The sequence below is a fragment of the Homo sapiens genome, chromosome 1 (genome assembly GCF_000001405.40).
Source record: "Homo sapiens chromosome 1, GRCh38.p14 Primary Assembly".
Taxonomy (NCBI): Eukaryota; Metazoa; Chordata; class Mammalia; order Primates; family Hominidae; genus Homo; species Homo sapiens.
The window spans coordinates 21,241,571-21,267,402 of record NC_000001.11 but is presented as its reverse complement, the minus strand read 5'-3'; the positions used below and the strand labels follow the sequence as shown (position 1 = coordinate 21,267,402).

General features: G+C 52.2%; 1 protein-coding gene and 1 long non-coding RNA gene across 9 annotated transcripts in view, besides 3 other annotated features; one reads left to right on the top strand and one right to left on the bottom strand.

Annotated features, from left to right (window-relative positions):
* The window catches only part of ECE1 (endothelin converting enzyme 1), a 128,255-nt gene that overhangs the window by 78,102 nt on the left and 24,321 nt on the right, over positions 1 to 25,832 (top strand). For all 8 annotated transcript variants that reach the window (NM_001113348.2, XM_011540873.3, XM_011540872.3 and 5 more), the window contains 6 exons: positions 7,011 to 7,132; positions 8,564 to 8,710; positions 9,813 to 9,878; positions 11,265 to 11,456; positions 20,040 to 20,182; positions 22,300 to 22,414. In NM_001113348.2, coding sequence (NP_001106819.1) covers positions 7,011 to 7,132; positions 8,564 to 8,710; positions 9,813 to 9,878; positions 11,265 to 11,456; positions 20,040 to 20,182; positions 22,300 to 22,414 — 785 coding nt within the window. The remainder of the gene's footprint in view (positions 1 to 7,010; positions 7,133 to 8,563; positions 8,711 to 9,812; positions 9,879 to 11,264; positions 11,457 to 20,039; positions 20,183 to 22,299; positions 22,415 to 25,832) is intronic.
* LOC124903872 (uncharacterized) lies at positions 152 to 5,320 on the bottom strand. The gene is made up of 3 exons (XR_007065530.1): positions 4,379 to 5,320; positions 3,422 to 3,502; positions 152 to 555 (listed from the first exon to the last, which is right to left on the bottom strand). It is a non-coding gene; the product is annotated as an uncharacterized LOC124903872 (long non-coding RNA).
* Positions 1,444 to 2,270: an enhancer, noted in NCBI's record as "NANOG-H3K27ac-H3K4me1 hESC enhancer chr1:21591626-21592452 (GRCh37/hg19 assembly coordinates)". NCBI's record gives its function as "activates a minimal SCP1, AML or CMV promoter by ChIP-STARR-seq in naive H9 embryonic stem cells {active_cell/tissue: H9 hESC(naive)}" and the evidence as "EXISTENCE:reporter gene assay evidence [ECO:0000049][PMID:30033119]".
* Positions 4,764 to 5,963: an enhancer, noted in NCBI's record as "MED14-independent group 3 enhancer chr1:21587933-21589132 (GRCh37/hg19 assembly coordinates)". NCBI's record gives its function as "activates an origin of replication core promoter dependent on BRD2, BRD4, P300/CBP and CDK7 cofactors, and independent of MED14, by STARR-seq in HCT116 cells {active_cell/tissue: HCT116}" and the evidence as "EXISTENCE:reporter gene assay evidence [ECO:0000049][PMID:35650434]".
* Positions 4,933 to 5,227: a silencer, noted in NCBI's record as "tiled region #8999; K562 Repressive non-DNase unmatched - State 5:Enh". NCBI's record gives its function as "represses a minimal TATA promoter and a strong SV40 promoter by Sharpr-MPRA in K562 cells {active_cell/tissue: K562}" and the evidence as "EXISTENCE:reporter gene assay evidence [ECO:0000049][PMID:27701403]".

Here is a 25,832-nt window from a genome sequence, read left to right as displayed (position 1 = left end):
GACGTGACTTGCTCCTCCTTGCCTTCCACCACGATGGTGAGGCCTCCCCAGCCACGTGGAACTGGAAGTCCATTAAACCTCTTTCTTTTGTAAATTGCCCAGTCTTGGGTATGTCTGTATCAACAGTGGGAAAACAGACTAATACACTGGATAATTTGTAAACAACAGAAATTTATTTCTCACTGTTCTGGACGCTGTGAAGTCCAAGATCAAGGCACGGGCTTGTTCAGTGTCTGTTAAGGGTTGCTCTCTGCTTCCAAGATGGCACCATGAACTGTGTCTTCACATGGCATATGGGACTGAAGAGGGGGGAACTGGCCCCCTCAAGCCCTTTTATAAGACACTAATCCATTCATAGAGCAGAGCCCTCATGACCTAAAGGCCCCATCTCTTAAAACTGCTCCTTAAGGATTAAGTTCCAACATGAATTTTGGAGGGGACACAGACATTCAAATAATAGCATTGACTCAACGATGTGAGGATGGGAGGGAGCGTCCAGGGCTTCTTAGGGCCAGCTGGGCTGCTTCAGCTTCACCTCCGGTTTTCTGAGCCAACCTGCAGGAAAGGACAGGGAAGCAGAAAAGGCTTAGGCTCCAGTCCTGGCCACAGCCACTTTTGCGACCTAGGACGAGTTACCCAACCTCTTACTTGTAAATGGAGTGTGATAACAGCCACTGTGGAATGGTCAGGACAAGATGCACACACAGCCATGCCTATGCCCATCTCAGAGGAAGCAGTTCACTTTCTCAGGAAGGCTTAGAAGTCCAGCATGCTACCCGCTAGCTCTGCCTTGATAGGCCAGTTTCTTCACGCACCTGGGCCTCATTTTCCTTGTCTCTGAAATGGGATGGTGATATCCGCCTCAGGGGACCAGGGTGAGGTTGTGACAGCAGCACAGGGCCTGCTGTAGATGCTGTGAGCGGTGGCAGTGGTGGAATTATTTTTGTTCTGCAGAGCAAGGCGTCTCCTTTATCAGCACCCCTTCCCCCCAGCACAGGATGGGGCTCCTGAGGCCTGTGACTGTCTGAACGGAGTCTAGTTTTATCTAAAACAAACACTGGTCCTGCCCTGGTGTGGAGTCAGGGCCCCACAGGCTCCTGGCCAGATGGTCCCACTGCATCAAGGGAGGCCGCACGATTCCCAGACACCCCTATCCCAGCAGCATGTGGGGGATTCCCAGACACCCCTATCCCAGCAGCGCGTGGGGGATTCCCAGACACCCCTATCCCAGCAGCATACGGGGGATTCCCAGACACCCCTATCATACCCCACAGCTCTGCCTGCCTGGGCGTTCATTTCCTCCCTGAGGAGTGATGTGGAGAGGGCATTCCAATGAAAACTCCCAGAGGAAGAAGCGGCCGATGAAATGGTGCTCTGTCTTCCTCTCTGGGACTTTGGGGTAGGGACTGAGGAAGCTTCTGGAACTCGGGGCCCCTAGAAGGAAGTACCCAGGCAGTGTGGAGCTCTGTTGTGTGGCCCTAGGCTGCCAAAAGATCTTCATAGTACAAGGAGGCCGCAGAAGTGCTGCTGTCTCCAAAATGTGTCCCCAGCATAGTGCCAGGAGCCACACTGTTGGGTGTTGGCTTCTTCTTTGCCTCCATGAAATCTTCTGGGAAGTAAACATGAGCCAGGGGTGTCTTAAAGGAGACCACAGCATCAAGCCCTGGTCTTGCTGAACTCAGAGTGACAGCCCCGAAAGGGGACAGTGCCAGCCTGGGGCTAGTCTGAAAAAAGATACCGAGACGAGCACCCCTTGAGAGGCAAGGTTGGGGGCCTGAACGAGGGGCTATGGAGGGTTGGCACAGTCCTAGAGACCTTTTTCTTATTCAGAAAAAGGTCTGTGCCTGATTTCACTTTGTTTTGTTTTGTTTGAAACCAAGTCTCGATCTGTCGCCCAGGCTGGAGTACAGTGGCGCTATCTCGGCTCACTGCAACCTCCGCCATCTGGGTTCAAGCGATTCTTGTGCCTCAGCCTGCCGAGTAGCTGGGACTACAAGCACCCGCCACCACACCCGGATAACTTTTGTATTTTTAGTAGAGACAGGGTTTCACCAGGTTGGCCAGGCTGGTCTCAAACTCCTGACCTCAAGTGATCCACCCACCTTGGCCTCCCAAAGTGCTGGGATTACAGACATGAGCCACTCATTTCACTTTGAAGCCCAGTCACCTCCCGCAGGCTAGAGTGCTACGTTTCTCTGTCATTCATTCCTTTATTCACTCACCAATTATGCATCAGACACTTTCTGTGTGCCAGGCATTGCTTGGGGCTGGGGATTATGTAGGAATAAGACAGTCTTTTCTTGTGGAAGTTACATTCCAGCAGGGAAGACAGACAGTAAACAAATAAATGACTAAATACATGATAGGATTGTAAAGAGAAGGGCTCAAAAACATCAAGTAGGGCATGGGGCCAGAGAGGGAAGAGGCGATTGTAGCTGCAGCGATCAGGAAGGGATGGGCTTTCTCAGAAGGGATGTCTGAGCAGATGCTTGAGTTAAGGAGAGAAGAGACCAGCCAGCCATGGGGAAGAGTGTGGGGCAGGAGCTGGAGACAGGTGGGAGCGCAGACCCCGTCACCCAGGGTGGCATTTCTCAGCCTGCAGTTATCATTACGCCTCCATGAAATGTTAATGCCACAGGTACTCTGGATGTCTGTTGCTATTCTTAGTCTGTATACACAGAGTAAAAAGCGTGAGATGCTTTGTCCTGCAAGAATAAATTCCTGGGGGCAGTATTGCCCCTGTTGGGGATGCGTGATATAGAGCCTTCTGGCCAATTTCAGGAATTGGGGCTGGGTGCGGTGGCTGACGCCTGTAATCCCAGCACTTTGGGAGGCCGAGACAGGCAGACCACCTGAGGTCAGGAGTTTGAGAACAGCCTGGCCAACACAGTGAAACCCTGTCTCTACTAAAAATACAAAAATTAGCCGGGCGTGATGGAGGATGCCTGTAATCCCAGCTACTCGGGAGGCTGAGGCAGGAGAATCACTTGAACCCAGGAGACGGAGGTTGCAGTGAGCCAAGTTCGTGCCACTGCACTCCAGCCTGGGCGACAGAGCGAGACTCAGTGTCAAAAAAAAAAAAGGGGGGGGGGGAATTGGTATATTCCAGTGCCTATTTGGACTAAAAGGAGTTCAAGACAATGCACTCTACAGACTCCCCAGACCAGGGCTCCCCTTGGGTGTCTCATAGAGGCCTCAAACTTCGAGTGTCTGGAGCTGAGCTTTAGGCAGTAGCTGTGTGCACTGAAGCTCCTTCCTAAGCCTGCCCCTCATCCTCAGGCTGCGGTTCCCCAGTGTCAGCAGCTTCTCACTCAGGCCAAAGAAACTTGACTCCATTCTTGACTCTCCTTTCTCTCATGTTCCAAATACTTCTCGCCCCCTTCTCTGCCGCCATCCTGGCCAAGCGCCCACCTTTGCTCACCTGGTCCCCTGCAGCAGCCTCCCGCCTGGCAGCCTCACTTGGGCTCTTGTCCCCTGGAGCCTGCAGGATAGTAGGTGCTCCCTGAGTGAGGAGGAAAAAGAAGAGGTGGGAGAGTGTGCCGTGGGTTGTCCCCGTGGGCTCCTGGAACCAGGGGGAGGAAGAGGAACCGTACCTTCTACCAGGGCTCCTGCCCCAGCCAGCATTGGCAGTGGGGATACTGATGACACACACAGAGGGGGCATGAACACCAACTCCTGGCGGGGCCCCCTCATCCTGTCCACTCCTGCCCCACCTGCCCGATTTCCTTTAAAAAAAAAAAGGGAATCTTGGCCAAGCATGGTGGCTCACGCCTGTAATCCCAGCATTTGGGGAGGCTGAAGTGGGCAGATCACACGTCAAGAGATTGAGACCATCCTGGCCAACATGGTGAAACCCAGTCTCTACTAAAAATACAAAAATTAGCCAGGCGTGGTGGTACACGCCTGTAGTCCCAGCTACTCGGGAGGCTGAGGCAGGAGAATCACTTGAACCCAGGAGGTGGAGGTTGCAGTGAGCCGAGATTGCGCCCCTGCGCTCCAGCCTAGTGACAGAGCGAGACTCTGTCTCAAAAAAAAAAAAAATAAATATAAAAAAAGGAAACCTTAGGTGGGCATCCGGCCTCATCACCCTCTCATCTTCCAGATGTCCTTCCTCTCCAGAAAGGGACACTGGGCTCTGTTCTTGCAGCCACCACCTGTTGCTAGGGGCCTACTAGGTCCCTATCCAGGGCTGGTTCTGGGGCTGCAGGGACCACTAAGACATGGAATGGCGGAGGGGCAGCCCAGGCACAGCCCCTGCTTCTACTCCACATTGAGTTCATCCTTCAGCCCGAAGCTCAAACGAAGCTTCCCCGGGGCCTTGCTTGGCTTCCCTGGTCTCCTCCCGCCCTCCCCTTCAAGGCCTCTGGGATGTTCTCACAGCGTTCACCCCGTGCGTAATCAGATGCTCCCGCGAGTCCTTGGCTGCCGTTTGCCTCACTCACCACGCTGCATGCCTCACGTGGACAGGCCTCCAGTTATGTTGCCCACTGTCCCCCACACCCGGCCTGGCGGTTGCCAGGCAAAAGGAACTTTGTAAACAATGTGGGAAAGCAAGTGAGCGTGGCACCCAGGTGGTGGGGGCCAAAGGAATGGAGTTTGAACCTGGCCTGTGGCAGCCTCTCAGCGAAGGAGCAAGGGAGGCTGTGTCTGAAGGAGGCATTCCTTCTCCCTCCCGGTGATAATTTGGGGCTTGCAGACAGGTGTTAGGGAAGAGGGCCTCGGAACTCGCTGTGATTAGCACAGCCAGGCTGCTCCTGGGAGCTGTTCTTTAGGCCTCTTATCTTTGTGGCCTTGGGGGAGGGAGATGCCAGGCTCACTCATGGGCCAGAGCACACAGAGTGCCTTCCCCAGCGCTGGCCCTGGCATTTCAGGGCTTTGGCCGGAGCCAGATGTGGAGGGTGAGACGCTGCATCTGAGGCCTGGGGAGCAATGACGATTCTCCTGCTTTTTCTTCCAAGAGCTTCATTGGGAGTGTTGCCATAGGAACGAGGCCCCTGGGAGGGGCGAGGCACTCCCCTTTTGCTCTCCCTGATCTTCTGTATCCCAGCTTCCCCATTTCCGCCCTCCCCTCACAGAGTCCTCTTCTCAGAGCTGCCGTGGTGCCTGGGGGACATGCAGGTGTTTCCAGCACTTAGCAACCCAGTAGCCCATGGTCTCCAGGGCTGTACGAACCCTCCATAGCCCCTCGTTCAGGCCCCTGACCCTGTCTCTCAAGGGGCTCTCTTGTCTCTGTGTCTTCCTTCAGACTAGCCCCAAGCTGGTCCCGTCCCCCTTTCAGGGCCATCACCCTGAGGTCAGCAAGACCGGGGCTCGATGCTCTGATCAGTGAAAGCCATGGTGCTATTTATGGTGAGGATCGGGGGGCAGGGAGCTCTCGGGGTGAGGCTGGGAAAGCTGATGAAAGACTGGCCAGGAAGTGACTCATGTCCTTTGCTCCAAGTGACTACGCCAGACAGCTTTCTTTTCTCCAAGCAGTCCGCCTGCCCTTTCAGGCATCCCCGCTTGTCCCCACACTGTCCTGTCCTGCTCCGCGCAACCCAGTGGCCTCTCCCCTCCCTTCCACCTGGTGAACAACTTCAGCTTTCAGAACCAGCTCAAATGGAACGCCCTCTGGAGACCCCTCTTCTCCCCACCCCTCCGAAGGGAGTGACTTTTCTCTGTGTTCCATAGCCACGTGCGTTGTTCATAGCACTGTCGTGTCTTGTGGTCATTTCTTTGAGTTTCTGCTGGGTGCCAGGCACAGGGCTGGGCTCTGAATTTTATAGGCATAAATAAGACCCGCTTTCTGTCCCAAGGAGCTCACGGTCTAATGGTGGACACAGGTATGCAGAGCGGTGAGGGCCTTTGGGAATGAACATCTTAGGAGAGCCTTCATCAAAAAGATGTCCCCGTAGAGGCCTTGAGGTTGAGTAGGATTTTAACAGGGTCCCATGCAGAAGCTCCTTGGGGACAGGGATGTTTTCTCTTGTGTCCCACAGCTTACACAGGGCCTAGCATAGAGTAAGCATCTAGTATCTGGTCAGAGGGTGGATGGATACAGTTCTGCCAGGAAAGTCTTTGTGAAGGAGCTGGGGTTTGAGGGATCTTTGAAGGAGGCAAAGGAAGGGGCTTCAGGGCCAGAGAGAAATGAACATGAAATGAGGGAATGTGTCTGGAGCAGTGAGTTTCCCAGAGGAGGCAAGAGGGACAGATGGAATTGAGGGGTTTAGAGTATCTGGCATGGCCTGGAGCAGGGCTCTGAGAAGAAGGCTCATGCACAGAGCCCCAGTATATAGTGGGTCCCTTGTGGACCTGAGTGGCAGGAAGCGGTCATCTTCACCAGGTGCACCCACCGGAGCATTGCCTTTAGCAGGTGGCATCTGGACCAGGGCACTGAGGTGAGGGAGAAGGGAACAGAATCTCCGGGTGTCTGGGGTAAGGTCTGAGAAGCCACTGCAGGAGGGAGATGCTGCTTGCTGGAGTTGGCAAGGGCGGTGGAAAACGGCCCCAGGAGTTGGCTGTAAGCCTGGTGAACGTGCCTAGCCCCTCCAAGGAGGAAGCAAAAAGTAAATTCATAATGAATGAGCCTTTTGAGTTTCCATCCAACTTCAGTCTTTATCACAAGAAAGATCATCTGGTATCTGAAAACCAAGACCGGCCTCTGTCCCATGCACCAGGCAGGGGTGTTCGTACCACACGTTATCCACAGGGGAAGAACACTGTCCTGCTGGTGGGCACGTGCGGTCAACCCGGGGACACGTCTGTGAACCCAACTGGCAGAGGGAGAGAAACGTGGTCGATTCTTTTTCTTTGCAGTCAGCAAAATTTCGGGAGCGCCTTCAGCTTGCCAGGCTCTGTCCAGGGGCCCTCACATACTCACGGTGACGGCATTCCTCACTGCCACTCCGACAGGCAGATGTCAGAGCTCCTTTGCAGCTGAGAACACCAAGGCTCCGAAAAGAGGGACTGCCCCAAAGCCACCCAGTGGGCAAGTGGGGCCGCATTGCAAACTCCACTGTCTGTTGTTCCAGAAAACTCCACGGCCAGCGTGAGCGAGGCAGAGAGAAAGGCGCAAGTATACTACCGTGCGTGCATGAACGAGACCAGGATCGAGGAGCTCAGGGCCAAACCTCTAATGGAGTTGATTGAGAGGGTGAGTGCCTCGGGCTCTCCCTCCCCAAGCCCCGGCCCATGCCACCTGCCCGCCCCCTGGCTTCCACTCCAGCCTTCTGGTACCACTGGCCCACCTCATACGTCCAGCCGGTAGCACCAAGAGAAAGACAGAAAGAGAGAGAGCGAGTGTGCGAGAGCACATGTGAGTGTGAGCACATTGCGTAGCTGCGTGGGTGGGTTGTCTGTGCATGTGTTTGTGTGAGAGTGTGTGTCAGCATCTGTTGTAGATGTCTGTCATCTGTCTGTGTGTCTCTCTGTGCATCTGTGTGTGGGATGGGGGCCATGTTTAGAGGGAAAATATTCCTCCACGTTGCTGCTGTTTTTTCCTCAGGGGTTATGTTTGTGTGTGTGGAGGGGTGTGTGCCTGTTCCAGAAAGACCCACAGAGAGTCTTGGCCCAGAACCAGAGCCCTCCCCGTGAGCAGGGACCCAGGCCACTCTCCTATACCTGCTTACTCCTGAGCAGGGGAAGACATCTTTCTTGCTTTCTTGGGCACTTCCCAGACTCTGAGGCTTCCTGGTGCAGACAGTAGGTGTCTGTGGATGTTTTCTGCCTGCCTCGTGTTCCCTGGACAGCCCTGCCTCTTAGCTTGGCTCCAGGAAAGCATTGCAGCAGGGTTGGTGGCTGCATGCGCTGGGGACTATGCTAGTCCCCTCCTCTCTGGACAGGTCCCATGTGCCAAACCAGGGAAGACCAGGGAGATTTTTTAAAATCCCAACTTTCTCGGGAGGCTGAGGCAGGAGGATCACTTGAAGCCAGGAGTTTAAGACCAGCCTGGGCAGCATAGCAAGACCCCATCTCCAAAAAATTTAAAAATTAGCCAGGTGTGGTGATACACACCTGTAGTCATAGCTACTTAGGAGGATGAGGTGAGACAATCACCTGAGCCCAGGAGGTGGAGGCTGCAGTGAGTTGTGATGGCCCCACTGCACTTCAGCCTGGGAATCAGAGCAAGACTCCATCTCAAAAAAAATTTTTTTAAAATCCCAACTTTGAGACTAAAGTAGACCGTAATTTACCAACCTTCTTAAACATGTGGAGCCTTTTTTATCCCAGAGGCACAATTGAATTTATGTTTTGATATAATCACATTCACACAATTCATTATCCAAAATATAAACCGTGAACCGGGAAAAGTCTCTTTCCCATTCTCATCCCAGCCACCCAGGGAGCGGCTGGATTCATGCCTGGCTGCTTGGCTTGTCTAGGATAAGCCTTTGCTCCATCCATGGGTCTCCAGCTCATGGGTCGGAAACCCCCGATGAAGACCAATCCTTTCCTTTGCTCTTGAGGCTCAGAGAGGTCAGGCGACTGCTCCAGGGTCACAGAGCAAGTCAGCGGCAGAACCAGAATTCACATCTGGGTCTCCCCGCCACCTCATCACCTCCCTGCCTGCTCTCCCTCCCCACAGCTCGGGGGCTGGAACATCACAGGTCCCTGGGCCAAGGACAACTTCCAGGACACCCTGCAGGTGGTCACCGCCCACTACCGCACCTCACCCTTCTTCTCTGTCTATGTCAGTGCCGATTCCAAGAACTCCAACAGCAACGTGATCCAGGTGAGCTAGCTTGAACCTGCAGCGGTCGAGGGGGCGGGCACGACCTCTTCCTGTTTTGAGTTTAGCAGGACCTGGGGTGGGAGAGGGGCTTGCCCTGGGTGGGACGGCGGTCTTCTAGTTTCTGAGCCTGGGTTATTTCCAGAGGCCCCACTGGTGAGATCTTTGCAGGCTGCTGGCCTTGCGTAGATGGGCACTGCATACAGGTGAAACTTTGGGTGCTGATGGGTTTCCGTGGGCCCCAAGAATGATGTCAACTCCTGGGCACAGCTGAACCCACATCCTGGTTTCCCCCTCCTTAGCGTCTGCTCTTTGTAACTCTTCTTGGAATGGGTTTGAATCCATCTCTCCCTGTCAGAGCATGCCCCAGACAGAGGCTCAGCCTGCCCAGGGGAGCTCCAGCACTGGTCTGCCCCAACCTCCAATGCAGAAGTGAGAAACCCAGGCTGGGGGTCCTAAAAGCTGAGTTCCCAGCCCATCTCTACCATTCAGTCACTGTGTGACCTTGGGCAAGTGCCTCAACCTCTCAGAGCTACAGTTACCTTATAAATCAAATGGATTGCAATAACACCTGTCCTAGGTATGCCAAGATGTGGCCATGGGTGCCAATAGTAGCAAGCAGAATTTGACCCTCCCCTCCTGCTTGGCAGGCACTTGACCAGCACTGTCTTCTTGAATCCCCATTCTAGCTCTGAAGGTTAGGTTTTATTTTCCCTATTTACCTGAGAAGAAACCTGAGAATCAGAAAGGTTCAGTAACTTGGCCAAGATCACACAGCTTTTGAGTGACTCTTAACCACCTGGAAAGCGTTGGGGAGATAGAGGCACTTTGCCGAGGCAAGTAGCTGTTTAAAAAGGAGGGTGGCTCTGTCCAGCCCTTCTGAGGAGCCCAGGAGCCCTGCGGGGGGGGGCCACGTGGACAGGCAGGAATGTGTCATCCCGTCCCTGAGTGGGCTTCTCAGTGACTGTAGCCAGCAGTCCTGCTTCTCCAAGGGCCTGAGCTGGGCCTCTGCTGCCATGTGCCAGCCATTCCCAGGGCAGGAGGCCGTGCAGTGGATACACGCATTGCAACACGAATTCCCTCTCATGCCTGCTTCTCTTGCCAGGTGGACCAGTCTGGCCTGGGCTTGCCCTCGAGAGACTATTACCTGAACAAAACTGAAAACGAGAAGGTAAGCGTGCCTCTCCCCTCCCAGCCTGCCTCCCAGCACGGTCCTTCCTGCTCCGTGTCCACACCCACACCTGTGCAGGTCTTTGAAGCTAGGGGAGCCCAGGGGTGTCAGTGACCTGATGGGTGAAACAGGCAGACCCTGGCAGGGGAGGGACACCCCTAGGCTGGCTGTGTCACTCAGGCATCATGGACACAAGGGGCAAGAGACAGGTATCATTTGTCCTGGTTCTAGAGAGAGGCAGAGGCAGCAATAACAGCTACCACAATTCGCCTGGCCCTTTATACATCACCTGTGACCCTCCCATTAACCCTGCAGATACTGAACTTCATTTGCCTCATCTGTCAAACAGGAATTAGTTTTGTCTTGCCTTTTACAGAAGAGGGTATCAGGCTCAGAGATGCTAAGTGATCTGCTCAAGGTCACATAGCCAGTAAATGACGAGCCTGAGATTCACATCCGGATCCACGTGCTCCGAAGCCCATGGCTCTCCCTCCCCCTGGCCTGCCTCTTGTGATGCCTCTTGGGGCGACCTCACCTGGAACTCATTCATCTGTCCTTTCATCCTTCCGCCGGCATGTACTTGACCAAGCGCCCACAGAGTGCCTGATGCTGGGGAGATGGTAGCAGACAAGACCACCATAGCCTTCGTCCCACAGGGCCTGTGGTTTGGTCGGCGAGGCGGATATTATTTAACTAAGAGAAAGTGAAGCTGAGAAAGTCTACCGTGGAGACCTAATTCAGATCTTGGAACACGGGTGGGGGGTGGTCAGAAAAGATGCATTCTAAGAATGGAAAGACAGCCCCAGGACAAGCCCTGGAAGACAGGGACCAGCCCAGGTGGGGACCTGTGAGACGAGCCAAGACTTTGGGCTTTCTCCTGGAGGCTGTAGGGAAGCAGCAGAGAGACACGGCCCCGAGATCATTCTCAATGCTGTGTCTCCCACGGGTGTCTTCTTCTTTTTTTTTTGAGACAAAGTCTCTCTCTGCCGCCCAGGCTAGAGTGCCATGGCGCACAATCTGGGCTCACTGCAACCTCCTCCTCCTGGGTTCAAGTGATTCTCCTGCCTCAGCCTCCTGAGTAGCTGGGATTATAGGCACCTCCCACTATGCTCAGCTAATTTTTGTATTTTTAGTAGAGACGGGGTTTCGCCATGTTGGCCAGGTTGGTCTCAAACTCCTGACCTTAGGTGATCCACCCACCTCAGCCTCCCAAAGTGCCAGGATTACAGGCGTGAGCCACCACACCTGGCCCCACGGGTGTCTTGGGGGCACTGTGCAGCCCCCTGGCTCCCTGTGCCGGACTTGGCTGGCCAAGCCCCCCACCAACTCTCGTCCAGTGGATAGTGGGGGGGCAGCCACTGACAGTTTGGGGTATGGGCCCTGCAGGTGCTGACCGGATATCTGAACTACATGGTCCAGCTGGGGAAGCTGCTGGGCGGCGGGGACGAGGAGGCCATCCGGCCCCAGATGCAGCAGATCTTGGACTTTGAGACGGCACTGGCCAACATCACCATCCCACAGGAGAAGCGCCGTGATGAGGAGCTCATCTACCACAAAGTGACGGCAGCCGAGCTGCAGGTAACTTGAGCGCCGGCTGCTAGGGAGGCTGGGATGGCCTCCAGGTTTCAGACAGGGCCCTGGACTGGGGGCTTTTATACTCATTTCATCTAGTCCTTGAAACTATGTGACAAAGGAAGGATGGTTGTTATGCCCAGTCCACAGATGGAAAAACTGATGCTCAGAAAGGTCAAGTTACCTGCTGAAGGGCACACAGCTAGTAAGTGACTCCAAAATAGGCGCCTGGCCGACACCAGGCTGCTTCTCTGTAATTAATAGTGTTTACTTGGAGGCTCGGGGTCATGACCACACCAGCTTACATTGACAGCGCCTTTCCAGTCTCTCCAGCACCAAGCACATCGAACTTGGTTACAGTGAGCACTTAATAAATGCATGGTGTGGATTCTGTCATTACTTTTCCCTTTTCTGAGCCAGATCAAGGTCCGGAGGCTCCTAAGTGGCAGAGGAGCCAGCCGCAGATGGGCTCACTGTACAACAGGGCGTTAGATCTGTGATGCTCTCTGTCACCCATTGGAGAAGCCCAACGTCCAAGGGCTCAGCCTCTGCCAAAGGCTGCCCTCTGGTGGCTGCTTGGTTCTTGAGGGTCCAGAGAGAATAGCTTGCTGGTTCCTTCTTTCCAGAGCATCAGCTGGCATTGCAGAGGGATCAGCAGAATGGCCACCACCGATCTTGCCGTTTCTTGACATCACCCAGGAATGCGTGGCCAGGCCTTGCTTCTCTGCTGAGGAGGGGCTCCCGCAGAGTGTCATCTCCCTCCTTCCTTACCTTGTGACCAGCCGAATTTGACCTGTTGTCCGTTCCTTCTACTTTCAGGAAGAACACTAGGTCCCTGCCCTTTACCCTCCTCCAGCTGACAGGTGTATATGGGTCCGTCTTGGGACCTTGCGCTTCATGTGCTTCCTGGCTAGTGGGGGACACCAGCTAGAAACAACCCTGTCTCATTGCTGAGTGCTTTGGGCAAAAGCAGCGGGCCCTGGGAGCCAGGGGTGGGGAGAAGTCAGGGAAGGTGAGTCTAACGATAGATGAGCATTTCCAGGCCAACTGGGTGTCCCAGGCGGAGATGCAGGCCGTGCTAGGGCCCACGATCAGGGTCAGGGGAGCCTGGCCTCCTGCTGGTGCTGGCTGCCCTTCAGCTCCCAGAGAAACTGGCCTGAGGCTCAGTGGTGCTGCTCAGACCAGGATGGAGATCAACAGCTGCTGTTAGATACCATCTGGCACTCTTTTCCTGCTCTGAGGCCAGGAGGCTGAGGGTGATGTTGTTTGTGCATTATAATTTGGTTTGTTCCAGCCGATTTCTCAGCCTGAGGGGCCCCCGCAGTGCCTCAGCCCCCTACCGTGGCCATGATGCCAACTGTCTGTGCCAGGAATAGCGGAGAAGGCACAGGAGCCCTGAGCACATCAGCCCAGCATGGCCACCAGGTTCCCCCCAGGCATCCTATCACCACTGCTTCTGCTCTCTTCTTCCAAGCAGAGGAAGAAAGGCTTTTCCTGCCTCCCAGCTGCACAGCTGCCAAGGTGGGGGGAGTTTAGCAGACTCAGCAGCTTGTAGTACACAAGCCCTGGGCTTAGATTCAGAGGACTGTAAGCCCCTTGGAGCTCTAAGTGCTGGGATTATAAGCATGAGCCACCACGCCTGGCCAAACAGCCTCTGTGTTCTAAGTACCCAAAGTTCAATTAAGATCTTTAGGAAATATATGGATTCTCTCGAGTTTTTACAGATATTTCTGATTAAATTCTAATGTGAATTTGGCTGCCTTCCTTGTAAAATGGGCTTGGCTCGTTCACTCACCCCAGCTGTGTGCCAGAACACAAATGAGACATAGCCCTTGCCCTCACAAGGGACTGTGGTTCCTCTTTTTTTTTTTTTTTTTTTTTTTTGAGACAAAGTCTTGCTCTGTCGCCCAGGATGGAGTGCAGTGGCATGATCTCAGCTTACTGCAACCTCTGCCTCCCAGGTTCAAGCGATTCTCCTGCCTCAGCCTCCTGAGTAGCTGGAATTACAGGCAGGCACCACCACGCCCGGCTAATTTTTGTATTTTTAGTAGAGTCGGGGTTTCACCATGTTGGTCAGGCTGGTCTCGAACTCCTGACCTCATAATCCACCCGCCTCGGCGTCCCAAAGTGCTGGGATTACAGGCATGAGCCACCGCACCTGGCCTGTGGTTCTTTTTTTTTTTTTAATTTGAGACAGAGTCTCGCGCTCTCGCCCAGGCTGGAGTGCAGTGGCGCCATCTCGGCTCTCTGCAAGCTCCACCTCCTGGGTTCACGCCATTCTCCCACCTCAGCCTCCCGAGTAGCTGGGACTACAGGCACCCGCCACCACGCCCGGCTAATTTTTTTGTATTTTTAGTAGAGACCGGGTTTCACCGTGTTAGCCAGGATGGTCTCGATCTCCTGTCTTCGTGAGTTGCCCGCCTCGGCCTCCCAGAGTGTTGGGATTACAGGCGTGAGCCACCGCGCCCGGCCTGTGGTTCTTAACTTTAAGTCACAGAGTCCTTTGAGAACAGATCAAAAACCATGGACTATCTCCCAGAATAAATGGGTATATATGCATATTTTTAAAATTATGTCTGACATTTAAAGACGTCCTGGCCGGGCATGGTGGCTCAGGCCTGTAATTCCAGCACTTTGGGAGGCCGAGGCAGGTGGATCACCTGAGGTCAGGAGTTCAAGACCAGCCTGACCAATATGGTAAAACCCCGTCTCTACTAAAAATACAAAAATTAGCCGGGTGTGGTGGTGTGCGCCGGTTGTCCCAGCTACTCGGTAGGCTGAGGCAGGAGAATCACTTGAACCCAGGAGGCGGAGGTTGCATTGAGCCAAGATCACACCACTGCACTCCAGCTTGGGTGACAGAGCGAGACTCCGTCTCAAAAAAATAAAATAAAATAAAATAAAATAAAATAAAATAATAAAGAAGTCCTGGCCCCCTGAAGCCTGTGTTCTAAGTAAGAATCTCTTCCTGGCCTGCCACACAGGGTTGTTGGAGAATAAGTTGAGGTAAAGGATGAGAGTTCATTCAGTAAACTCATTTGCACAACCCAGTACAAGCATAACATATTATATTCATCATTATTGTTACTATTCCTTTGTTATTAGCGATGTCACCCAGGAACCCAGCACTAAATCAATTTGATTCATTCTACTCTGGGACAGAGAATGTCTTGTTCCCTGGTGTCTGGAAATGGGGTTTTCTTCCCATACTCCAGGTAACTTAGGGAAAAGCACGCCAGGTTTCACAGTGTGGTTCTAGGCTAGCCCTGCTGGGGTACAGAATGCTTCCAGGCTAGTCCCCAGCAGAGTCTGAACTCAGAGCTGTGAATCAGACACTCTTCCATTACTTCTGGGGGCCTGAGGACCTTCCCCTTCCTTTCTAGGACCCTCACGCCAAAGGCTGTTTGGGCCTGAGCCCCATTTTCTACCCCATTTCTCCAGCTGAGATGAAGCTCAGAAGCATTCTTCTCTTCTCTCCCAGTTTCAAACCTATTTGAATTGGTTGGTTTGTGACCCACAGTACTCCTTGGCTGCAGGTGTGGAAAATGGAGCTCACTGGTGTGCCCCAGAGGGTGTGAGTCACAAGTGGAATGTCCTAGTCAGTTAAAACAGCCGTCTCCATGGAGATGGAGCTAGGCACATGTGTTTAAGATAGGAGTTCACTAAAGCAGCCAGGATGGAAAATGTGAAAATCCTGGTATTCAACACATCTTATCTGACAGTCATGGGAACTTCCCTGCACAGAACACCTGCTTTCCCTAAAGGGCCAGGGTTGTGTTGAAGAGTACACAGGGATTTCTCACCGTCTTATATCTGTACCTTGATCAGAGAGTTCCAGTTGTCTGCAGTTTATGGAGCTCTCGTCCACTGTGTAAACACTGACAGTTTGTAAACTTGTCGATTTTCCCAAGGCCTTTGCCAACAGGTCATGCAGTCAGGTGGCTCTAATGGTGGAACCCTATTTGAGGATCTCACAAGCACAGCTCCAGTTTTTGTAGTCACAGAAATGTTAAAGATTAGCCTCAGAGGTTACCTGCCTGAGGGCCTCCTACCAGGAGGAGGGCAGAGAGGACAAGGTAAAGAGAAAAGAAACTCAGGGTTATTGGGCAAGCAGGTATAAGAGGCACAGATCTATCAGCTCTGGGAGGGGAGGCTGTTTTCCCCTTTTTAGAGAAAGAACGGAAAAAGGCTGGAGGTCCCAGAGCTGGTTCCTCCTGGGGATGCTGATCCAGGTCTGCTCATTCTTAGCTCATTCTTAGCCCAAGTGGCTCTTCCCAGCTCACCTAGCTGGCAGGGATGCACTGGAGCCCCCTGGCCCCCAAGTCCGCTGCGCACATCTCTTACCAGCTCCGCAGGTATTTTACCATCAGCCACGGTGGGAAGAGTTACCCAGAAACTGAGAGCCAGTTGTTAACTGTTTTGTTTTTGTTTTTGTTTTGAGACAGAGCTTCGCCCTGTTGCCCAGGCTGGAGTGCAGTGGCATGATCTTGGCTCACTGCAGCCTCCGCCTCCCAGGCTCAAGTGATTCTCATGCCTCAGCCTCCCAAGTAGCTGGGATTACAGGCGTGCACCACCACGCCTGGCTAATTTTTTTATACTTTTAGCAGAGATAGGGTTTCATCATGTTGGCCAGGCTGGTCTTGAACTCCTGGACTCAGGTGATTCTCCTGTCTTGGCCTCCCAAAGTGCTGGGATTTACAGGCATGAGCCACCGTGCCCGGCGCAGTTGTTAACTGTTTACCAGCACGCCACTGCCTTCAGGACCTGCCCTCCTCACAAATTCACCTGTCCTTTGAGGTCCTTGTTCCCCAGCAGCTGAGTTGCCCTTTTAAACCCAAAGAGATGAGTGAACCTGGGTTTTAGACCTCCACAGTGGCTAGTTAACTATGTGACCTCAGGAAAGTCACCTTACCCCATCTGCAAATTCAGCATCTCTTTTTTTTTTTGAGACTGAGTCTCGCTCTGTCGCCCAGGCTGGAGTGCAGTGGCGCGATCCCCGCTCACTGCAAGCTCTGCCTCCCGGGTTCATGCCATTCTCCTGCCTCAGCCTCCCGCGTAGCTGGGACTACAGGCGTCCACCATAATGCCCGGCTAATTTTTTGTATTTTTAGTAGAGATGGGGTTTCACCCTCTTAGTCAGGATGGTCTCCCTTTCCTGACCTCGTGATCTGCCCGCCTCGGCCTCCCAAAGTGCTGGGGTTACAGGCGTGAGCCACCGCGCCCGGCCTCAGCATCTGTTAAGCGGGGGTTTATGGCTACCTCCCTCACAGAGGGTGTCATCAGTATATACCAACAGGCTATAGACTGGTCTTACATTACAGATCAATTTTACTTTATTGATTGATTTTTCCATGTGAAGGCCATATGTGGAGCCTCTCTCACCTCCTTTGTCTTGCATTTTGTCCTTTTTCAAGAAAACAAAAGAGAATTTGGAATTGGACAGGCCCAGGAACATACATGGGAGACCTTGAACAAAGATTGTAATGGCCAATATTGATGAGTTGCTTGCTAAATGCCAGACATATCCATCTAAGTGATCGACATGTACAGGCATTTTTGCTGTAGCAGTATATATAATTCCAAAAAACCTTGTGTTCTGTAAAATCGCACACTAAAAATAGCAGTACGTGTGGGGAAAATAGAACAAGAGCAGAACAAAAGTTATGCAACTTTACTTGAGGATACTGTGCTAAGCGAAATAAGCCAATCACAAAAGGACAAATACTGCCTGATTCTACTTATATGAGGTACCTAGAATAGTCAAGTTCATAGAGACAGAAAGTAGAATGGTAGTTTCCAGGAGTGGGGGTTGGGGCCAGTGGGAAGTTATTGCCTGATGGGTAGAGTCTCACATTTGCAAGATGAAATCTGTGGGGCCAGACGCGGTGGCTTATGCCTGTAATCCCCTCACTTTGGGAGGCCAAGACGGGTGGATCACCAGAGGTCAGGAGTTCGAGACCAGTCTGACCAATATGGTAAAACCCCGTCTCTATTAAAAAAAAAAAAAAAAAAATTAGCCAAGGTGGTGGCATGTGCCTGTAGTCCCAGCTACTTGGGAGGCTGGGACAGGAGAATCACTTGAACCCGGGAGGCGGAGGTTGCAATGAGCTGAGATCGCACCACTGCACTCCAGCGTGGGCAACAGAGTGAGACTGTGTCTCAAAACAAAATAAATAATTTAAAAAAGCAATCTGTGGCTGGATAGTGGTGGTGATGGTAGCACTGCAGTGTGAATGGACTGAATGCCCCTGAACTGTGCTCTTTTTTTTCTGAGGCAGGGTTTCACTCTGTCAACCAGGCTGAAGTGTAGTGGTGTGATTTCAGCTCACTGCAGCCTCGACCTCCCAGGCTCAAGCAATTCTCCCACCTGGGACTACAGGCTCAGACCTCCATGCCTAGCTAAGTTTTAAATTTTTTTTTGTAAAGATGGGGTGTCACCATGTTGCCCAGGCTGGTCTTGAACTCCTGGGCTCAAGCGATCTGCCCACCTCAGTCTCCCAAAGTGCTGGGATTACAGGCATGAGTCACTGCTCCTGTCCTTGAACTGTGCTCTTAAACATGGTGAAGATGGTGAATTTTATATGTATTTTACCACAGCTTTTTTTTTTTTGAGATGGAGTCTCGCTCTGTTGCCCAGGCTGGAGTGCAGTGGCGTGATCTTGGCTCACTGTAACCTCTGCCTCCCTGGTTCAAGCGATTCTCCTGCCTCAGCATCCCGAGTAGCTGGGACTACAGGCATGTACCACCACGCCCAGCTAATTTTTGTAATTTTGGTAGAGACAGGGTTTCACCATGTTGTCCAGGCTGGTCTTGAACTCCTGACCTCAGGTGATCCACTGGCCTCGGCCTTCCAAAGGGTACCACAATTTTTTTTAAGTTGCGCAACTTTGTAATCAGAATCCTAACAAAACAATAATTAGAAACTTGAGGAGTACCTCAGCATGGCTGGAGGCTGCCGTGGGGAAAGCACCAGCTGGGAAATGCTAGCTGTGGACACCAAGACCCTGCAGATAAGACAGGGAGCTCTGGCCAGGTGGGGTGGCTCAAAGTGCTGTTAATCCCAGCCCTTTGGGAGGCCGAGGCAGGCAGATCATGAGGTCAGGAGTTCGAGACCAGCCTGACCAACATGGTGAAACCCTGTCTCTACTAAAAATACAAAAATTAGCCAGGAGTGGTGGCTCACACCTGTAATCCCAGCTACTAGGGAGGCTGAGGCAGGAGAATCGCTTGAACCTGGGAGGCGGAGGTTGCAGTGAGCTGAGATCACGCCACTGCACTAGAGCCTAGACATGAGAGCAAGATTCCATCTCAAAAAAAAAAGAAAAGAAAAAGAGAGCTCTGAACAAGCGCCTTTAGGGTCACAGAGAAAGTGCAACCTGCTGGAGGCTGAGAGTTACAGGTCTGGAAGGCGCCTCTGTGAGGAGAGGAAGCCCCAGGCGCGAGCGCTCATTTTCAGTCATCTTAAAATAGAGCAGACCAGGCTGGGTGCGGTAGCTCATGCCTATAATCCCAGCACTTTGGGAGGCTGAGGCAGGCGGGTCACTTGAGGTCAGGAGTTCAAGGCCAGCCTGGCCAAGATGGCAAAACCCCATCTCTACTAAAAATACGAAAATTAAGTGGGCATGGTGGTGGGTGCCTGTTGTAATCCCAGCTACTCGGGAAGCTGAAACAGGAGAATCACTTGAACCCTGGAGGCAGAGGTTACAGTGAGCCAAGATGGCACCACTGCACTCCAGCCTGGACAAGAGAGTGAGACTCCGTCTCAAAAAAAAAAAAAAAGTAGAGCTGACCAGCCTGCTGTGTGCATTAGCTGAGCTGAGGGCTTTTCCTTTCTTGCTGAAAGTTAATGTTCAACCCTTCCCGATCCCATGCCTGAGAAATATCACCTTCGGACCAATGCAGCTCAGAAGTTATGCTGCTGTCTTCCTGAATTTACCAATCATGTAGAAGTTCACTGATGTTACTTACAGAATCCCATGTTGAATAGAACAAACAGCATAAGCTTGTTCAGTCCTCACAAATAACCCAGTGAAGTGGGTTCTGTTATTATGGTGATCCCCACTTCTCAGACAAGATACTGAGGCCCAGAAGGATGCATTAACTTACCCAGGGTTACACAGCTAGCAAGGAAGAGAGCTAGAAGATGAGCCCAGGCAGTTTGGCTGCAGAGTCTACAAGCTCAACTGTTTCAGGCCTGTCTAAAGCTCAGTCTCCTCATCCATGAAGCAGGGATAATAGTACCTACTGCTTGGACTCGCGTGAGGACCAGGTGGAATCATATGCATCAATCATTTGCCACGGCTCCTGGCACACAGGAGACGCTTGCTGAATGGTAGCGGCAGCTGCTGCATCTTCTCATTGCATCCTCATTCCATTTCAGGTTAAATTTTGGTGTTGGACTCCTTAGAATTCTACCTACAGCATCTCTGACAAAAGCCCGCCAGGCTCCGCTTGACTCTCTGCCCGGTGCGCTGTCAGATGGCGCCAAGCCCAAGCTCTTTCCTTTGCTTCCTGTAGAAGCCCGTCCTAGAGCCCTGGGCTGTGAGGAGGAGCAGCCCCACAGGGTCACACTGTCCTTTTCCCTTGCAGACCTTGGCACCCGCCATCAACTGGTTGCCTTTTCTCAACACCATCTTCTACCCCGTGGAGATCAATGAATCCGAGCCTATTGTGGTCTATGACAAGGAATACCTTGAGCAGATCTCCACTCTCATCAACACCACCGACAGATGGTAAGAGGACCCCCAGTGGCCTGGGGCACGCCTCTCACAGACAGCCCTCTTCTTGGGCAGGTGGGCAGGGGTGGGGATGACAGTCTGACTCAGGAGAGTGGGACCTGGGCGGGCTTTTACGAGAGGCAGCAGGACATCCTGGTTACAGGCACAGGTTTAAATCCCAGCCTCTTTCAAACTACCAGCTTTGTAGCCTTGGGCAAATTTCGTAACCTTTCTTAAGTTCATTCTCCTCCTTCATAAAATGGTGATACAAATATCACCTGTGGCCGGGCATGAACGCCCGTAATTGCGGGACTTTTGGGAGACAGAGGCAGGAGGATCCCTTGAGTCCCTGCGTTTGAGACCAGCCTGGGCAACATGGCGAGACGGTGTCTCTACAAAAAATAAAAAATTAGCCAGACATGGTGTCGCGTGCCTGTCACCCAGCTCCTTGAGAGGGAGGCTGAAGTGGAAGGATCTCTTGAGCTCAGGAGGCAGAGGTTGTAGTGAGCTGTGATTGCACTGTTGCACTCCAGCGTGGGAGACAGAGTAAAACCCTGTCTCAAACAAAAAAACCTAGCACCTACCATTTAGGGCTGTTGTGAGAATCAAGTGAAACAATCCATATGAGGTGATTTAATAGAGTGCCTAGCATATACTGGGACTCAGTAAATGTTGGCTATTATTTTTAGTTAATACTTACGATTTTCTTTCTTTTCTTTTCTTTTTTTTTTTTTTTTGAGATGGAGTCTCACTCTGTCACCCAGGCTGGAGTGCAGTGGCGCGATCTCAACTCACTGCAACCTCTGCTTCCCAGGTTTAAATGATTCTCCTGCCTCAGCCTCCCAAACAGCTGGGATTATAGGCGCCTGCCACCACACCGGCTAATGTTTGTATTTTTAGTAGAGATGGGGTTTCACCATGTTTGCCAGGCTGGTCCCCAACTCCTGACCTCAGTTGATCTGCCTGCCTCAGCCTCCCAAAGAGCTAGGATTACAGGCATAAGCCACCACACCCAGCAATACTTATAATTTTTAAAAAATTTTTTGAAAACTACCAAAAAAATAGGGAAAAAAATTTATCGTATTTAACTTATTTTTTTCCTAACTCCCCAAACTTACTTGTTAAAATTTTTTTAATGAGATGGGGTCTCACTATGTTGCCCAGGCTGGTCTCAAACTCCTGGTCTCAGGCAATCCTCCCACCTTGGCCTCTCAAAATGCTAAGATTACAGGTGTGAGCCACCTCACCAGGCTCTGAAAAAATTTTAAATGACTCCTGTTGATCTTGTGGTATGTGTGTGTGCATATGTAGAGAGAAAGCATGGGGGAGGGCAGGAGAGAGGAGGGAAAGAGAGATCGGTTTTCTAATATGTGGTCTTTTTTTCCCATTATCATAACTAAATGTCTAGTCTCCTTTTCCCTTGACCTGTATCCTGAACATTTTCCCCCTTGTCATCTCAAAACCTCTGCAAACATCATTTTTCATGGTTGCATAGTACTCCGTCGTGTACAAATACAGTTCTTTACTTCCTCCTTCTCATTATCAGGCATTTTGGTTGATTCTGATTAGAGGTTAGATGTTCACTACAGTCTCAAGGTGACTTCTTGGCAACGGTGGCAACAGCTACAGATAGGTTCCCTGTGCCCTGCAGGTGGGGCAGTAGGAGCTGTCATCATGGAAAGCTTGGCCTGGCTGGGCTGAGCTTCTTTTCCTGCCCCTGCTATTCTTAGCCTCTCTGGCCTTCTGGCTGGGGCACCTCCAAGCTGTAGAAGTGGTAGTCACCTCTCCAGCCCAGCCCTGTAGCATACACCATTGGGGTGGGTCTCCATGCTGGGGCTTCATAGCTTCCAGACACAGAGCAGCTAGGCAACAAGCATTTATTGAGCACCTGTGGTATACAAGTGACTGCACTCAACACTGAAGCGTTTCCTATGGTAGAAGACCCAGGCTTTTCCCTTGAAGAGCTTACATTGCACGTGCTTAGGGAGCAGTAACCCACCAAGCCCCCGCAGGCTGGAAGGGGCCTGGGGTCACAGGCCAAGTTTGAGAGCCCCCTAGGGGCCAGCAGGGGAAGGGCCGCAATCCTCCCTGCCTAGGTGTCCCTGAGCCTCTCTGGCCTCCTCTCCCCGCAGCCTGCTCAACAACTACATGATCTGGAACCTGGTGCGGAAAACAAGCTCCTTCCTTGACCAGCGCTTTCAGGACGCCGATGAGAAGTTCATGGAAGTCATGTACGGGACCAAGAAGGTGAGCCTGCTACTGCGTATGCCTGAATATGGGCTGAGCGCCTACTTTATGCCAAGGTGTCTATGGGAGCACAGGAAGGGACCTCAGCCAGCTGGGGGTGGGTAGAAGCTTCCGGAAGGAGTGCTTATGCCAAGTAAAGGGTAAAGAGGAGTCCTAGCCACTCAGCCAATTTATAGCAAAAAGTAGTTGCCAGTAGTGATGATAGATGCTCCCCTTGAACAACTCATGATCCTCACAATGCCTGTGAGGTGAGTACTGTTATTAGCCCCACTTTGCACAGGGGACCACCAATAGTATTACTTCTTCCCCGGAAACGTAAAACACAGAACAGCACCTGGTCCTTAGAAGCACCACGCGACTGTTCAGTGTTATTATTTTCCTCCCAGTTTGTATTCTGGGAAACCCCAGGCCAGGTGGGCTCTACCTGCCGTTAAATGCCCCTGCCAGGAGCCCTGAGGGTCCATTCTTCCAAAGGCTTCAGGGACCTTCCCTGCCCTCCCACAGGGGAACCTACCCCCAGTGGAAAGTTCCACAGCCACTTCCACCTTCTCCCCAAGGAAGTGGCTGTCACCCTCTCACTCATGCAGCCGACTAATGGTTACTCATTGAACTCCTGCCATCGCGTGCCAGGCTCTAAGCCCAGTACGGGAATACTGAGACAGGTGAGCTGGGGTCTGTACCCCGAGAGCCCACACCGGCTGAGGGAGGTGATAGGAAATGACCAGTTCTCGTATGTGCTGATGGGATACATCACGCTCGGGCCCCAGAGAGTGGCTGGAAGAGGCCCCGCTACAGAGCAGTAGAGGCTGGTGTGCCAAGCTCACCTGGCACAGCTTCCCCAACCCAGACAGCAGCTAGCAAGACCCCAACAATCCTCCCCAGAGAGGAGGCAGAGCTGACTCCAGCTGGACCCCACTCCTGCAGCCCTTCCCAGAGTCCAATCCAGATGAGGATTGGCAGAGAATGGCAGGATGTGGGCTCCTGCTTCGAGCCCTGGAATGCATCCTACACGTCCTCTCTCCCATCCCCATGCAAACCTACCTCTGGCAGGAAGGGGACTGAGGGAGAAGGTAGCTGGGAACAAGCCCCATTTCTAACCAGAGGCACTTCCAAGGGCACCACCAGACCTTGGCCACAAGAAGCATACTGCCCTGCAGAGGACAAAGCGGGAGCAGTGGGTTGGCTGCCCTGCCTGGCCAACTTGCCTTCCTGCTCCTCCTGCATCTACCTTGGACTGGCCCTGGGTTAGAGATGGGGCCAAAGCCAGGATTCTGTTCCCTGCAGAACTTGGCCTCCCAGGGGACTTCCTACAGAGAGATTTGATCAGGACCCAGGATGATGGTTCCAAAGATGGTCTGTGTGTGGAACATACACCCACATATTCTCTCACCTTCCCAGGTTACAGATGAGGAAACTGAGGCTCAGGGAGGTGAAGGGACTTTCATAGTCACCCAGCAAGAAAGCAGCAAGGGCCTGGTGTGGTGGCTCACGCCTGTAGTGCTAACACTTTGAGAGGCCGAGACAGGTGGATCACCTGAGCCCAGCCTGGAAAACAGCAAGATCCTGTCTCTGTTTTTTTTTTTTTTTTAATATATTTATGTGTTTATTTTAAGAAAAAAGAAAGCAGCAAGCTTGAATGAAAATCCCAGATCTGATATTTACAACTTTGAGGCACTTTCAGCTACTCACTTACATAATGATGATAATAACCAAAGATACCATTATTGGATATCTACCTTTTATAGGCATTATGAATTCCTACTACCGCTGTTATCCTCTTCCATTTTACAGATGATGAAATCGAGGCTCAGTGAGGGAAAGGGACTTGTTCAAAGTTGCTTATAAGTGGAGAGGAGGCTCTGAAATCCAGCCTATCTGATTCCATAGCCCTGAGCTCTGTACCACTCAGCCTCTGCTCTGCAGGAACCAAAAGTTAAGGTCAAGCTTCCCTGTGGTTGCCAAGGGCTGATATGGAGGAAGAGGGATGAGGAATTATTGTTTAATGAGTATAGAGTTTCAGATTTGCAAGATAAAAAAGTTCTGAGCCAGGCGCAGTGGTGCATGTCTGTAGTCCCAGCTACCCTGGAGGCTGAGGCAGGAGGACTGCTTGAGCCCAGGAGTTTAAGGCTGCAGCGAGCTATCACTGACTGCACCACTGCACTCCAGCCTGAGCAACAGAGCAAGACCCCATCACTTTTTAAAAAATTAATTAATTAGTCAGTAATGGAGTGAGCTTCCCTGGGCCACCTTCAAAGCACAGGGTGCTGCTTGAATATGGCACTTGGAGCAAGTGGGGCACAGGGAGGCCTCAAGAGAGGCAAGGGCAAGTGGGAACCCTGAAGTGGGAGGGTCTGAGCAGGGGTCTCTGGATACCCCAGGGCTGATGGGTGAAGGCTGCTGCTCACCTGTTTCTTAATCTCCAGCCCTCCCCACTCCCCAACTGTGACAGAGTCTGGGCCCAGGCCAGGTCCCTCCTCCTTGTGTTCAGCCCAACTCAAAGCCACCTCCTAGCTGTGTGACCTTGGGTAGTCCTTACACCTCTCTGAGCCTCAGTTTTTTTAATCTGCAATTGGAGATCACTCCTGACCTCACCTCACAGGACTTTTGTGAATGGCCTTCATTCGGGAAAAAGCATAGAGCATGGGAAGCAGTGTGGTGTGTGCGTTTGTTCATCCTGGCAGGGAGGGAGCCTGCTGTGAGGAAACGGCATGGAATTTGGAGTCAGAAGATCCAAGTTTGAATTGTTTCTTCTAATCACACCTTAGGCAGATTGCCTCACTGGGGCAGGGGCTCAATCTCCCATCTGTAGAAAGGGGTAACAGATCCCTGCCTTGCTTATCCAAGGGCCGCCTAAGATTAGACGAGGGGATCCCTGTGAAGTCTCTTCTGACTGCTCAAGCGCTGCATGCAGCCGTTTCTCATCAGCTATCACCCATTTGTGACTTGAGACTTCCAGCAGGGAGGAAGGAACCCCTTGCTGAGTGCTCCTTGTATTACAGTGAGGAAGAGGTTAAAAAAAAAATTGCAGCCAGGTCAGGGTGGAGGAGGCTGCCTGGCTGCTCTTCATCTTCCCAGACCTGACTCATAGATCTCCTGCAAGATGCAGGCTTCCTGACCGGTCAGATCGATCAGACCCTCGCTCCTTTTGGAGATTTTCTCACCATCCTGTAGTACTTCCAGGACTTCGTGACCTGTAGGCAGAGAGCGTGGCCTCTTTGAAGGAAGACATTGGAGCCGGACTTTCTGAGTTCAAATTCCACCTCAGGCCGGGTGCGGTGGCTCATGCCTGTAATCCCAGCACTTTTGGGAGGCCAAGGCTGGTGGGATCACCTGAGGCCAGGAGTTCAAGACCACCCTGGCCAACACGGCAAAAGCCCGCCTCTACTAAAACTACAAAAAATAGCCAGGTGTAGTGACA